The sequence below is a fragment of the Homo sapiens genome, chromosome 22 (assembly GCF_000001405.40).
Source record: "Homo sapiens chromosome 22, GRCh38.p14 Primary Assembly".
Taxonomy (NCBI): Eukaryota; Metazoa; Chordata; class Mammalia; order Primates; family Hominidae; genus Homo; species Homo sapiens.
Genome location: NC_000022.11, coordinates 19,065,258 through 19,079,658, shown reverse-complemented (window position 1 = coordinate 19,079,658; position 14,401 = coordinate 19,065,258). Strand labels below are relative to the sequence as shown.

Here is a 14,401-nt window from a genome sequence, read left to right as displayed (position 1 = left end):
TTGTTGTGAGGATTACATTACATGCTACATATAAAGGGATTAGACAAGAATGTAGCACACAGTAATCCCTCAATTAGCAGTTACTTTATTCATGTAATAAAACTTAAAAAAATGTATTCTGACATTGGTAAAATGGCAGTCCAGGAAGCTCCAGGTTCTCGTTCCACCATAGAAAACATTAATAAGCAACTAGGGACTAGATGGAATAACTTTATAGAAGCTCTGGAAAACAGTCAGAGGTTTCTTAGCCCAGCTAAGAAAATGCCTAATCAAGAAAAAGCCACATTCAAAATACAGATTGAGTATCCCTTAACTGAAATGTTTGGGACCAGAAGTGTTTTGGATTTTGGATTTTTTTCTGATTTTGGAATATTTACATTATACTTACCAGTTGAACACTCCAGTGAGCATTTCCTTTGAGTACAACGTTGGCACTCAAGAGTTTTGGATTTTGGGCTGGGCTCATATCTGTCATCTCAGTGCTTTGGGAGTTCAAGGTGGGAGGATTACTTGATGCCAGGATTATAAGAGAATACTGTTAAGAATTGTACATTAACAAATTGCTTAACCTAAATGAAGCGGACACATTCCTAGAAACATACAACCTGCCAAGACTGAATCATGAGGAAATAGAAAATCTGAATAGGACTATAATTAATAAGGAGATTGAATCAGTAATCAAAAACCTCTCAACAAAGAAAAGTCCTGAACCACATGGCTTCACTGATGAATTCTCCAAACGTTTAAAGAAGAATTAACATCAGTCCTTCTCAAGTGAATTCATTCTGTGACTCTAACATGCCCTGATACCAAAGCCAGACAGTAATACTACTAGAAAATTACAGACCAATATCCTTTGTGAATATTGATACAAAATCCTCAACAAAATACTAGCAAAACCAAGTTAACCAAGTTTAGCAGTCTGTCAAAAGGCTTGGACCAAATGTAATGCAAGGATGTCTCAGCAAACTAAAATCAGTCAGTGGTCAAAGACTGAAAGCTTTTCCTCTAAGATCAGAGACAAGACAAGGATGTCTGCTTTCACCACTTATTCACCATAGTATTGAAGTTAATTGCCCACAGTAATTAATCAAGAAGAGAAAGCCATCAAAATTGGAAAGGGAGAAGTAAAGTTATCCCTGTTTGTATGTGTGACGACATGATTTTATATATAAAAACCTTAAAGATTTCACAGAAACATGGTTAGAACTAATAAATGAATTCAGCAAAATTGCAGGGCACAAAGTCAAAACACAAAATCAGTTGTATTTATATTTATGTACACTAACTCAGCTATCTGAAGAGGAAATTAAGAAAATAATTCCATTTACAGTAATAGTACAAAGAATAAAATACAGATATTCCTCAACTTATAACAGATTTATGTCTTAAACCTATTGTAAAGTCGAAAAATTTTTTAGTCAAACTATCATAAGTTGGGGGTCTGTCTGTACTAAAGAATATTCTTAAGTACACATGAAAGACTGAAAACACTGACAACTACAAAATGTTAAAAGAAATTAAAGAAGACACTGGGTGTGGTAGCTCACACCTGTAATCCCAGCATTTTGGGAGGCCAAGGCGGGTGGATCACTTGAGGTCAGGAGTTCAGGACCAGCCTGGCCAACATGGCAAAACCTTGTCTTGGTGAAAAATACAAAACTTAGCTGGGTGTGGTGAGGTGCACCTGTAGTCCCAGCTACTCAGGAGGCTGAGGCAGGAGAATTGCTTGAACCCAGAACGTGAAGATTGCAGTAAGCTGAGATCGCACCACTGCACTCCAGCCTGGGTGACAGAGTGAGACACTGTCTCAAAAAAAAAAAAAAGACAAAAATAAATTGAGAGATGTTCCATGCTCATGGACTGTAAAACGTAAGATGTGACTATTACCTAAAGCAATCTACAGATTCAATCCCTATTAAAATGCCAACAAGTTTTTTTTGCTGAAGTAGAAAAATTTATCCTAATGTTCATAGAATCTCAGCAGACTCCAAAGAGCCAGAACAGTCTTGAAAAAGAAGAAGAAATATGAAATCCTCATAATTCCTGACTTTAAACCTTATTACAAAGCTGCAGTAATCCAAACATTGTAGTATTGGTATAAAGACAGACATATAGACCAATGGAATAGAATACAGAGCCTTAGCAATAAGTCCTTGCATACAGTGGTCAAATTATTTTCCACAAGGATGCCATTACCATTCAGTGAGGGAAAAAGTGTCTTTTCAGAATGAATGGTGCTAGGAAAACTGGACATACAAATCAAAAGAATAAAGTTAGACCCTTAGCTAATGATATACAAAACTTAACCCAAAATGGATCAGGCTTAAATTTAAGACCTTAAACTATAAAATTCTTAGAAAAACATAATAAAGTCTTCGTGACACTGGATTTGGCAATGATTTCTTACATAAGACACTTAAATCACAGGCAACAAAAGAAACAATAGATAAATTAAGCTACGTCAAAATTTAAAACTTCTATTAATTAAAAGAAGCACTCAACAGAGTGAAAAGGCAGCCTACAGAATGGAAAACATTTGAAACTCATATCTGGTAAGGGTTAATATTTAAAATATAAAAAGAATTCCCACAGCTCAATAATAATAAATATCCTGGTTAAAAAATGTGCAAAGGACTGGGTGCGGCGGCTCACGCCTGTAATCACAGCACTTTGGGAGGCCGGCGGATCACAAGGTCAGGAGATCGAGACCATCCTGGCTAACACGGTGAAACCCCGTCTCTACTAAAAAACACAAAAAATTAGCCAGGTGTGGTGGCGGGCGCCTTAGTTCCAGCTACTCGGGAGGCTGAGGCAGGAGAATGGCATGAATCCTGGAGGTGGAGCTTGCAGTGAGCCGAGATCACACCACTGCACTCCAGACTGGGAGAGAGAGCGAGACTCCATCTCAAAAAAAAAAAAAAAAAAAAAAAATGTGCAAAGGACTTGAGTAGACATTTCTCCAAAGAAGATAAACAAATGACTGATAAGCACATTAATGATTAGAGAAATGCAAATCAAAACAGCAGTGAAATAGCTCACAGCCATTAGATGTTTGCTGTTGAACAGGAAATGACAAGTGTTGACGAGGATTTAGAAAAAGTGGAATCCCTCTGCGGTGTTGTTAGGAATGGGAACTGGTGCAGCTACTAAAACAGTATGACAGTGCCACCCAAATTAAAAGTAGAATTACCTGCCGGGCGCGGTGGCTCACGCCTGTAATCCCAGCACTTTGGGAGGCCGAGGCGGGCGGATCACTTGAGGTCAGGAGTTCTAGAGCAGCCTGGCCAACATGGTGAAACCCCGTCTCTACCAAAAATATAAAAAAAAATTAGCCGAGTATGGTGATGCATGCCTGTAATCCCAGCTACTTGGGAGGCTGAGGCAGGAGAATCACTTGAACCCAGGAGGCGAAAGTTGCAGTGAGCTGAGATCATGCCACTGCACTCCAGTCTGGGTGACAGGACAAGACTCCTTCCCCCCCAAAAAATAAAGTGAACTTTAAAAAATAAATAAAATAAAAATACAAAAATTAGCTGGGCGTCATGGCGCACGCCTGTTAATTTCAGCTACTGGGGAGACTGAGGCAGGAGAGTTGCTTGAGCCTGGGAGACGGAGGTTGCAGTGAGCTGAGATCATGCCACTGCACTCCAGCTTGGGCGACAGAGCAAGACTCTGTCTCAAAAAATAAAAGTAGAATTATCATACAACTTAGCAGTTCGACTCCAAAGAATTGGAAGCAGAGACTTGAAGAGAGATTTGTACACCCAAGTTCATAGCAGCATTACTCATAGTAGCCAAAAGGTGGAAGCAACCCAAGTGTCCATCACAGATGAATGGATCAACAACAAGGTAGTCTATCCATCCAGTGGAATATGGTTTACCTTAAAAAGGAAGGAATTCTGACACATGCTACAGCATGGATGGACTTTGAGGATATGCTCAGTGAAATAAGCCTGTCACAAAATAACAAATACTGTATGTTTCCATTTAGATGTGCTATCAAGATACTCAAATGCATAGATACAGGAAGTAGAATTGTGGTTGCCAGGGGCTGGGAGGAGAGAAAAATTGGGAGGTAATGTTTAATGGATACGGAGTTTGTTTGGTAAGATGAAAAGTTCTGGAGATGGATGGTGGTGATGGTTGTTATGGAACTAATGTGAAGGTACTTAATAATGCCACTTAACTGTACACTCTTTTTTTTTTTTTGAGACAGAGTCTTGCTCTGTGGCCCAGGCTGGAGTGCAGTGGCACGATCTCGGCTCACTGCAAGCTCTGCCTCCCGGGTTCACGCCATTGTCCTGCCTCAGCCTCCCAAGTAGCTGGGACTACAGGCGTCCACCACCACGCCCGGCTAATTTTCACCATGCCCGACTAATTTTTTGTATTTTTAGTAGAGATGGGGTTTCACTGTGTTAGCCAGGATGGTCTCGATCTCCTGACCTTGTGATCTGCCTGCCTCAGCCTCCCAAAGTGCTGGGATTACAGGCGTGAGCCACTGCACCCAGCCCAACTGTACACTCTTAAGTGGTTAAAAATGAGTTCAGAAAATCCAATATCTGATTAATACAAATTCCTTAAAAGAAAATAGAGGAGATGGGGGAGGAGGGAATTAGCAAAGAAGTTATATAAGAAAATTTCCCAGAAATGAAAGATTGTATCCTTGGATTGGAAGGGACTGGCACAATAATTTTAAAAAGGCCTGTATAAATTACCTCCTTGTGCAGCTGCAGCACGTTGGTAATGCAGAGGACATCAACCCCTGTAGCGGGAAACCTGGGTCACAATAAAAGGATCAGGAATCAGAGCAGTAGATGCCTCAGCGGCAGCTCCGATGTAAAAAAAAGGTGGGGCGGGGCATCCCAGATCTGTAGAGGAACTGATTTTGATTGTCTACTTCAAATTTTTAGTTTTATCTTTATTCAAGTTACTTATGCATACAATTTGAATATTCAAATGATTCTGTAAGTCTTTTTTTTAATAGCAAACCCTATGAACCCCTCTAATTTTCAAGGCAAACATTGTTTTAGCTGTTTCATTTGGTATTTATCTGTGTGTCTTTAAATTCCGTGGTTTTAGGCATTCTCTGCTGATTCTTCCCTAAGCCTGGTGGGTGAGTCTGGGCCCTGTGCTCTGTGAGGTCTTGCCTGCTTTCAGTGCTGCTCCTAGCTGGGCCATGCAGGAGCACTCCGTTTCCTTTTTGTTGGCACAACATTGTGTTTTCACTTTTTTTTTTTTTTTTTCATCTTGCTCTGTGGCCCAGGCTGGAGTGGAGTGGCGCGATCTCGGCTCACTGCAACCTCCTAGGCTCAATCGATTCTTCTGCCTCAGCCTCCTGAGTAGCCGGGATTACAGGTGCATGCCACCACACCCAGCTAATTTTTGTATTTTTTAGTAGAGACAGGGTTTCACCATGTTGGCCAGGCTAGTCTCGAACTCTTGACCTTAAGCGATCGCCTGCCTCGGTCTCCCAAAGTTCTGGGATTACAGACGTGAGCCACCGTGCCGAGCCATGTTTAATTTTTTAAGAAATTGCCAAGCCGTTTTCCAATTTGGTGTGAATCCTGTAGATTCATATATATCTTTTCTTTTTAAGTACCTAGAAGTCTCTTTCCTGATGTCCCCTCAGTTACAGATCTCTATCAGTCAGAGTTCTTTGGCCCCTCCTTTCCCAGACGCCCCTGGTGGTCCTCACCTGTCAGTGCTGCTGGGCCAGCTTCCCCGTTCACCATCAGTGTGGGAGAATCAGTCACTCTCACCTGTGTCTCCTTGCGTTGGAACCTCTGGTGTTTGGTTTTTATATCTTTCCTGTTTTGTTTTATTCCTTCATTTTAGTCGAGTACTGCCCCACTTATGTGGAAAAGGAACATAGGAGACAAAGGTTTGTGTTTCCTTGTTTGCATGTCTGAAGTGTCCTTATTTTACCTTTGCACATAAGTTTGGCTGGTTTTAGAATCATAAGCTAGAAATAAGTTTTTCCCATAATTTTGAAGGTTAAGCTTACTCCATTTTTACTCCAACACCAGTGTTGCTGGTGACATAATTTTTGATTCTTTGAACATAACTTGTTTTCTTCCTGGAAATTTTGCGTATCTTTTGAACCATTGCACTGCCTCCTCAGTGGGTCTTTTCATCTTAGACTCATGCCTTACAGCTTAGGGAAAGGGGTCACTTTCCTGTTCTCTGTTCTATTCTGTTTTCTTCTCTGTTCCCTTTTTCTGGAACTCTTTATTATTGGGAATTGGAGCTCTTGGATTGATTCCCAGTTTTCGTTTTCTCCTCTGCAGTTTTCCATCTCTTTGATTATTTTACTTTTAGTAGGTTTCTATAACTTCTGCCAAATCTTTTATGAGTTTTCATGTTTGCTGTCATGTATTCAGTTTTTTTTTGTGTGTGTGACAGGTCTCACTGTCACTCAGGCTGGAGTGCACTAGTGTGGTCATAGCTCATTGTAGCCTCAAACAGCTAGGCTCAAACAGTCCTCTTGTGTCATCCTCCTGAGTAGCTGGGACTATAGGCATATGCCACTATGCCCAGCTAATTATTTTTATTTTTATTTTTCATAGAGACAGGGTCTTGCTGTGTTGCCCAGGCTGGTCTCCAACTCCTGGCCTCAAGCAATCCTCCTGCCTCAGCCTCCCAAAGTGTTGGGATTACAGGTGTGAGCCACTGCACCTGGCCTCCTGTTCATTTGTACAAGATCATTTTCAGAGGCAAGTAATGATGGATAGTGTTGTCTGCATTTTCCTTTTTTTTAAAAAAAAATTTTATTTATTTATTTTTTAGACAGAGTCTTGCTCTGTTGCCAGGCTGGAATGCAGTGGTGCGATCTCCACTCACTGCAACCTCTGCCTCCCGGGTTCAAGTGATTCTCCTGCTTCAGCCTCCCGAGTAGTTGGGACTACAGGTGTGTGCCACCACGCCCAGCTAATTTTTTGCATTTTTATTAGAGACGGGGTTTCACCATGTTGGCCAGGATGGTCTTGATCTCTTTACCTTGTGATCTGCCCACCTCGGGCCTCCCAAAGTGCTGGGATTACAGGCGTGAGGCACCGTGCCCGGTCCATGCTCCTTCTTAATAGCACCCTTTTCTTGTTTCATGAGTACAGTAGAACCTCTCACTTTGAGGATGTTAATGGCCTGTTTTTGGTTTTAACTTTTTGTCTCTGTACTTGTTTCTTCTGTGCTATTTTCCTCTGTGGTTTGGGTCTCTGCCTCAGAGGTTTGGTGGTCCTTCCCTATCTGCTGTATGTGGCTGAGGGACTTGAAGTTCTGTGCACGTGGGCTTCCCTGGAGGGTGAACCAGCTGGATATGTTTCGTTGGGAATCTCCTCCTGTTGGGGACTTTCTTCTTGACCTGGTCAGATTTTTTCCATAAAGGACCATTTCCTATCTGCCTGGAGCCTGGGGTTCTGAGAGCTTAGTGGAAGAAAAATGGCGATGGGGAATCTGTCCTCTCTTCCCTGAGTAAAGAACCCTGATTTTCAGCTGAACTGGTGTCCCCTAACCCAGACACCACCTGTTTTATCTTCTTACCAGTTAACTCTTGATTTGTTTACTGCTTGAGTTGTGGGAGGAATCTGGGTGTGTCCACCTGCCTTGTCCCTGCGCCCACCTTTTAATATGAATAATTTCAGATCTATAAAAAACTCATAATCATAGTGCAATAAACACTCCTGCAGCCTTTACCCGGGTTCACCAGCTGATAGTGTCCTGCCGCACCTTTACCCGGGTTCACCTGCCGCAGTTGCTCTTTGTGTTTTTCTTCTGAACCCTTTGAGAGGTTACAGATATTATGATATTCTACCCCTAAATACTATGATCAAAAAATAAGAACAATCCTCTACAGAAGCCTTTTCACATGCAAGAAATTTACTGTAGTACTATTCTGTGTAATCCATATTCAGATTCTTTTCATTATCCCCAGAACATCCTTTACAGGTTTCTTTCCCCTTTTAATTCAAGATTTATTCAAGGATTAATGTAAGTATGTTATTGCCGTATTGCTTTGTTCTTTAATCTAGAAGTATTCCCAGCCCTCTTTTGCAGGGGGCTTTGGGCGTCTTTCATGACATTGCCATATTTGAAGAGTCCAGGTCAGTTCTGTAGAATGGCGTTCAATTTGGACTTGTCTCTTTCTTCAGGATTAGCTTCAGGTGAGACTTTTTTTTTTTAGGTAGCAATACTATGTAAGTCATAAATTATCAAATCACGAGGCCCAAGGTCATTTTGTCTCATTATTGGTGATGTTAAGTTTGATCACTATTGTGAATATTTCTTTCCCTTTTTGTGACGAAAAGTAATTTGTGAATAAATAGTCTGTGGAGTGGTATTCTAGGTATTCTCCCTGATTCTGTTTCCTTGTTGAACTTGCTCTCCAGTGTGTTCCTGTGCTGGGGAAGCAGCAGCGTGGCACTCTAGTGGTGCTGGAGGCAGGAGGGGCACATGTGCTCCGAGCTGCACAGGTCATGGAGCCCAGAGTCGGAGCAGATGTGGCTCTGGGTGCTACAGTGACCCCTGCACCAGGTCCCCAGCTGGGCTGTGAGGCAGGGCTGCTCGGGCCCCATGGCCCTGGTGGAGGTGGAAGAGGCCCCCCAGCTTACCAAAGGCTGGCCCTCCGCGGGAAGAGGGACATTCTCTACTGTCAGAGGCAGGCCTGAGAGGTCTGTAAGGGTTCTGTCCTGTGCTATGCGCATTCCCCAGCCTGGCCCCCAGACTCTCCCCCAGGACACTGTCTGACATCAGCATCATCTTGACAGCCAAGCCCTTCCCCTTCTTGCTGGCAAAGGCCTGTGTCTGTGCTGGCAGGTTTCCATGGTGGGCCCAGAATGGGCATTGAATAAACGTGGGGGTGAGGGGATGAATGTGAGCATTTGGATATGGAGATGCATGATGGAAAAAAGAAAGGGCTCACAATTGCCACCTAAACCCAGAGAAGCCTGCTCAACAGAGTGGTGTCCTTTATCACCATTTGGCTTTCTGGTTATGTTTCTGAAATATTTCACCTGGTCTCCCACCCCAGGGGGCAGATGACTTCACTCAGTCAACATGTAACAACCTGGTCTTTGGTGCCCATGTGACCTGGCAGCACTGTCCCTCTGTTATCTCTTCTTTCTCTTCCCTTTCCTCTGCCCTCAGTTCATCTTGTCTTTCTGTGAGCAATTTTACCAGGTACTGTGCTTGGCTTGGGGAAGAGGCCAGGATACAAAGTGGAGCCACAGGTCTTGCCCATTTGAGCAGAGGGAGATGTTGAATTTAAGTTCAGTGACATTCTCCAGCCACACTCAGGCCTGGCCTCAGGTTTATCCCGGATATGTCTGCCTTTGCCCTTTGCCAAAGCTGCTCCATCTGCCAGAAAGCCCCTCTGTTCTTTCTCAGCTTCCAGTCTCAGGCCCAGAAGCTCAGGTGGCTCTTCCCTTCTCCACCAAGTGCTGATGCCCCATCCTAGTGGCTGCATCCCTGCATCAGAGCTACCAGCGAGTCTGTGGGTCGAGTCTCCTACCCAGAGTGTCGGGTGCTGCAGGTAGCATGGCTTAGGACATGGGACCAGTCCTAAAGAGCTGATGGTCCCCAAGTACTGCGTGTTTACAGCATCAGGCCTGTCGTGGTGCCAGTTACTGTCCCACACTGAGGTCCTTAGGTTGTATTTTGGGGTGGTAAAGTACCCCAAAGACACCTCTACCAAAAAACACAAGCCTTGAAGATGCTTCTCCCTTTGAGGTCTTCACTTTCTGTTGAAAGTGTCTCGGACACAGGTAGCATATTTTATATTTTAGTGATTCCCAGTCGAATAGCAACCCATCCCCATCACATGCCTGACAGGAGCTATGGAACTATGCTTATTGAGTACTGAGTGAGTATCCAGAGTCTCAGAAATGAGACTACATACGCACTTGTGTACAAGGTGTTTAAGGCAGCCTTTTCTAGAATAATGAAAAAAATGCAAACAGCCTAACCTCAAACCATAGAGATTATGGGGATGAAAGAAATCCATTTGTGGAATACTATGCAGCCATCAAAAGTCATGTTCCTAAGCCCATTTAAAAATATAGAAAGCTGTTTATAGTCTTAAGCTTACAAAGCAAGTCGTGAAATGGAGTGTCTGATGTGATCCCAGTATTCTTAAAGATTTGTGTAGAAAAGAGACTTGGTGAGGGGGCAGATGCTCGCATAGTTAAATATGGCCTTTGTTGTTTATTGTCTTTTCAAACTTTTGTATTTTTCAAGCATTTCACATTGAATGTTTGTTACTTTATCATGAGCAAAAAAGCATGTGGATTTTTTATTAAATAAAAACCATTGCAAAGTCTATGACACTAGCAGAACCAACCTGCTGGAGAGGGGCTCGTCAGGTGGCGCTGACTGCCGGTTCAGGTTCAGGGAAGGAGGCTTTGCAGGAGGCCTCCTAACCCTCCCTGTGACCTCCCTTGGGGAGCCGAGGCCCCACTCGCCATCTGCAGCCAGAGTGCACTTGCTGGCAGGCGTCTGTCTGTGTGCAGCCTTGCAGACCAAGTTTGTTTCCCATCTGACCTGACCTTGTACCCGATGCCCTTCATGACACATCAGGGTACACCTGTACAGAGTGGGAGGTGAGCGGGCCCATGAGGGCCCTCTCCCCTGCACCATGGCCTTGGGTAAGTCACTCCCCTTCTCTGAGTCTGCCCTTCACCTTGTGAGATGGGAGGAGTGTGGTTCTCCTTTTTCACAAGGGGGTTGGAGGACAAAAGAGAGTGTGTGGGTGGAAGCACTGGTGTGCAAATTACTATTAGATCATGCTGTATAAAACTATAGTTATTTCCTCATCTTCAGCTGCCTGTTGACACCTTCTAGCCATGCACTGAGACCTGCTGCACACCAGGGCCTGTGCCAAGCACCAAAGAGCCAGACAGGAACATACTGAGGTCCTGGCCTGGAGGCCTTCACAGCCATGGGGGACCAGCAGGCAGGGGGACAGATAGGCAGCTCAGGCCCCAGGACAAGGGCTGCAGAGGAAGGTTGCACACGTGGGTCTCCTTCATACTGGGAGAGAAGGCCCTCAAGGAAGGGGTAGGGGCAGCCTGGGCTCTGGAGAGAACTCTTTCATGGGCCATCCCCATGGGGCTGGAACTGCTGAGGGATTTTAATTTATGCAGGACCCTTTGCTGTGCTAGCAATGACCTGTTAGAAAATGCAATGAAGAGGGCCTCCATTTCACAATAGTAACTTAAAAAACAAAAACTGCCACGGCATAATTTTAATAAGAAGCACACGGGACCCATTTGATGCGAGCGGCAGTGTTTCATAGGGCTCTAAAGAAAGCCTGCATTGCCGGACTCTGTGCTACAGGCCCCCCCTCCGGCCTTGCAGCCCTGAGTGGTCTGAACCATGCTGGCCAGGGAGACTGCGACTGCACAGGCAGGACTCACAGCACACATCTCCTTTTGCTTTCAGAAGTGACCGGGGAGGTGCGTCCTCATCATGGGAAGGAGGCTGTGGATCCGCGGCAGGGGCGGGCCAGAGGAGGCGACCCTTCGCACTTCCACGCGGTGAACGTGGCGCAGCCCGTTCGCTTCAGCAGTAAGTTGCAGACCTGCCCTGACTGGGACACTGGGGAGTGCAAGCCTGACATGACCCCTGCCTTTCCAGCACTACTGTGCTGCGTGAGGGGTTTCTCAAAGCAGCCCTTGGAGGCCAGTGAGGGGAATGAATGAGGCTGCATGATGACCCACCCGCAGTCACCCAGCGCTGGAGTGGTGGTATGTGACTCAAGGCCCTAGGAAGTCAACCGGCTCTGAGGCCAGGCTGCTTGTTCTCACAAAGTGACTGCTTTTCAGGGCCAGAAGGCACTGGCCCTTGGAAATTCCAAAGTTGTATTATTCCCTTTTATAAATGAGGAAACCAGCTCTGAGTTTAGATACAGCAATAAAATGGGAAGGCTCGACTCCTTATTTATTTATTTATTTATTTATTTATTTATTTATTTAGAGACGGAGTCTCACGCTTGTCACCCAGGCTGGAGTGCAGTGGCATAATCTCAGCTTACTGAAACCTCTGCCTTCCAGGTTAAGTGATTCTCCTGTCTTAGCCTCCCGAGTAGCTGGGATTACAGGCACGTGCCATCACGCCCGGCTAATTTTTGTATTTTTAGTAGAGACCGGGTTTCACCACCTTGACCAGGCTGGTCTCGAACTCCTGACCTGAGGTGATCCACCCACCTCAGCCTCCCAAAGTGCTAGGATTACAGGCATGAGCCACTGTGTCCAGCCATTTTAAGAAAAATTTTTAAGGTGATTAGTTATTTAATAAATTACCTATGACATTGAAATTTTAAAGGGGCATGAGATCATCAAGGAAGGTTGAGGGGAGGAAAAGCCACCACTGAAATGGCCCTGAGCAGACCCTCTCAGGCGCGAGGTACCCAAGTACGCTGAGCAGCGGCTGTGGACCAGGCAGGACTGATACTGGATGGGCCTGCTGCCCTGCCTTGGGCCTGTCTGCTTGTGTTACTCCTCAGCCCCCAGACTTTCAGCACTGGGGAGCACCTCAGAGGTGACCAGGTCTGCTTCTGGCAGAACCCCCACCAACCCTGGGTGGCCAGAGTGGGGCCAGGTGTTTCCAGGTGGTCACGCATGTTGGTGCGGCTGAAGCAGGGCTGGACATGTCCTGGTGATGCACTTTGTCTCCGGCCTGTGCCCACAGCCCGAACGGGTCCCCACAGTGCAAGTGTGGTGCACAGGCTTGGTGTGTGAAGACACTGAGGCTGAGAGGCCACCTGTAGGGAAGGGGCAGTTCACAGTGCAGCCCCAGGGGGTCCTGATGCTCAGCTCCATGTTCTTCCTTCCCCTTGCCTGTCTGTTCAGTTTTGAACAGGCAGCACTTCTGCCTGGGTAGTAAGCAACTCCACCAAGTTCAGAACATAAAGAAGATGAGTCAGTGCACAGGAGTGCTTCCTCCCTCCATGCCCCAGCCAGCTGGCTCCCATCCTGGGATGTCTCCTTCCCTCCATGCCTCAGCCAGCTTCCCTCCCTACAGGGCTTCCTCTCACCTTGCCTGAGATAGGGGCCTGGCCTCTGCCTGCCTCAGTGTCCTCACCTCTTCATGGAGACGGTGCAGAGCCACCTGCGGGGCATGTGGTCAGGCTGCATGCATTGGTGTGGCACCCAGGAAACACGCAATGAATGTGCAACACACCTTCTCGAGAGCTGATGCCTTGACATTTTTTATTGTTGTTTTGTTTTTTTTTGTTTGTTTGTTTTTTGTTTGTTTTTTTTCAGACAGGGTCTCACTCTGTCACCCAGGCTGGAGTGCAGTGGCGCACTTTTGGCTCACTGCAGGCAGTCTCTGCCTTTTTGAGCTCAAGTGATCCTCCAACCTCAGCCTCCCAGGTAGCTGGGACTACAGGTGTGCCCCACCACACCTGGCTAATTCTTTGTATTTTCGGTAGATAGGGGGTTTCGCCATGTTGCCCAGGCTGGTCTCAAGCTCCTGAGCTCAAGCAATCTGCCCACCTCGGCCTCCCAAAGTGCTGGAATTACAGGCGTGAGCCACTGTTGCCAGCCCTCTGATTCCTTGTCTGCACCTAAAGAGCTTCCTTGCACACTCAGGTGTACCCTTCACGGTGAGCAGATGGTGCTGTCCAGCTGTGGCCATGCTTAGGGGCTAGGGGTGCCCCTCTTTTTCTGTAATCTATGTGCCTTTATGAAGAAGTCACACACACACATGCTTACATAATAAATACATGGGGATACGTGTCTAGAAGTTTTACTAGTGCCACAAGACATAGCTGCACTTTAAAAATGGCATTTTTAATTTTACAACTGGCTTTGCTAAAAATTGTCACTCTTCTCCAGTGTACTAATATGAGGTACCCAACATTTGAAGGTTAAAGATTCTATAAAAGAGGTCACTGGTGTTACCTAAGGTGAGCTGTAAATTACCAGGCATTCCCGTGTGTGGGTGTAGGAGTCGGAAGTGATGGGTGGAGGAAGTGAGAGGACGCTGGCCAGACTCATTGATACTCAAGTGCTGGCTGGCTCCTTAGCTTTGCCACCTGTGGCATCGCCCACACCTTATTTTTTTCGGCTGTGGGAGGCAGGGGCGGGTCACACAGTGTCATGGCTCTCCCAGCTGTTATCCTTTGAGCTGCTGTTTTAGTGGAGGGTTGGCCAGCCCCTACTGCAAATGCTCATGTAAGTAGAAAAGGGAGAGAGGGGAGTGAGCTAGCTGGCAGCGGAGGCCAGGAGAGCTGGGCATTGGAAGCAGGGCCCAAAGTGAACTGCATGGGAGTTGTGCTGTGTTGTTAACCCAGAGAATGAAATCCACTTTACAAGACTTAATTCAGCAGCCGTTCTTGACTAGTGAATAAATTAAAAGATCTTATAGAAATGGGAAGAGTCACCGAATGTACTTGTATCATTGA

The 14,401-nt window shown here is 45.6% G+C and overlaps 1 protein-coding gene across 5 annotated transcripts in view; it reads left to right on the top strand.

Annotated features, from left to right (window-relative positions):
- DGCR2 (DiGeorge syndrome critical region gene 2) overlaps nt 1-14,401 on the top strand; it is an 86,127-nt gene that overhangs the window by 42,754 nt on the left and 28,972 nt on the right. For all 5 annotated transcript variants that reach the window (NR_033674.2, NM_001173534.2, NM_001173533.2 and 2 more), the window contains one exon: nt 11,434-11,559. Coding sequence is in view for 4 of the 5 variants with exons in the window: in NM_001173534.2 (NP_001167005.1) it covers nt 11,434-11,559 (126 nt within the window). In the remaining variant the exon portion in view is untranslated. The remainder of the gene's footprint in view (nt 1-11,433; nt 11,560-14,401) is intronic.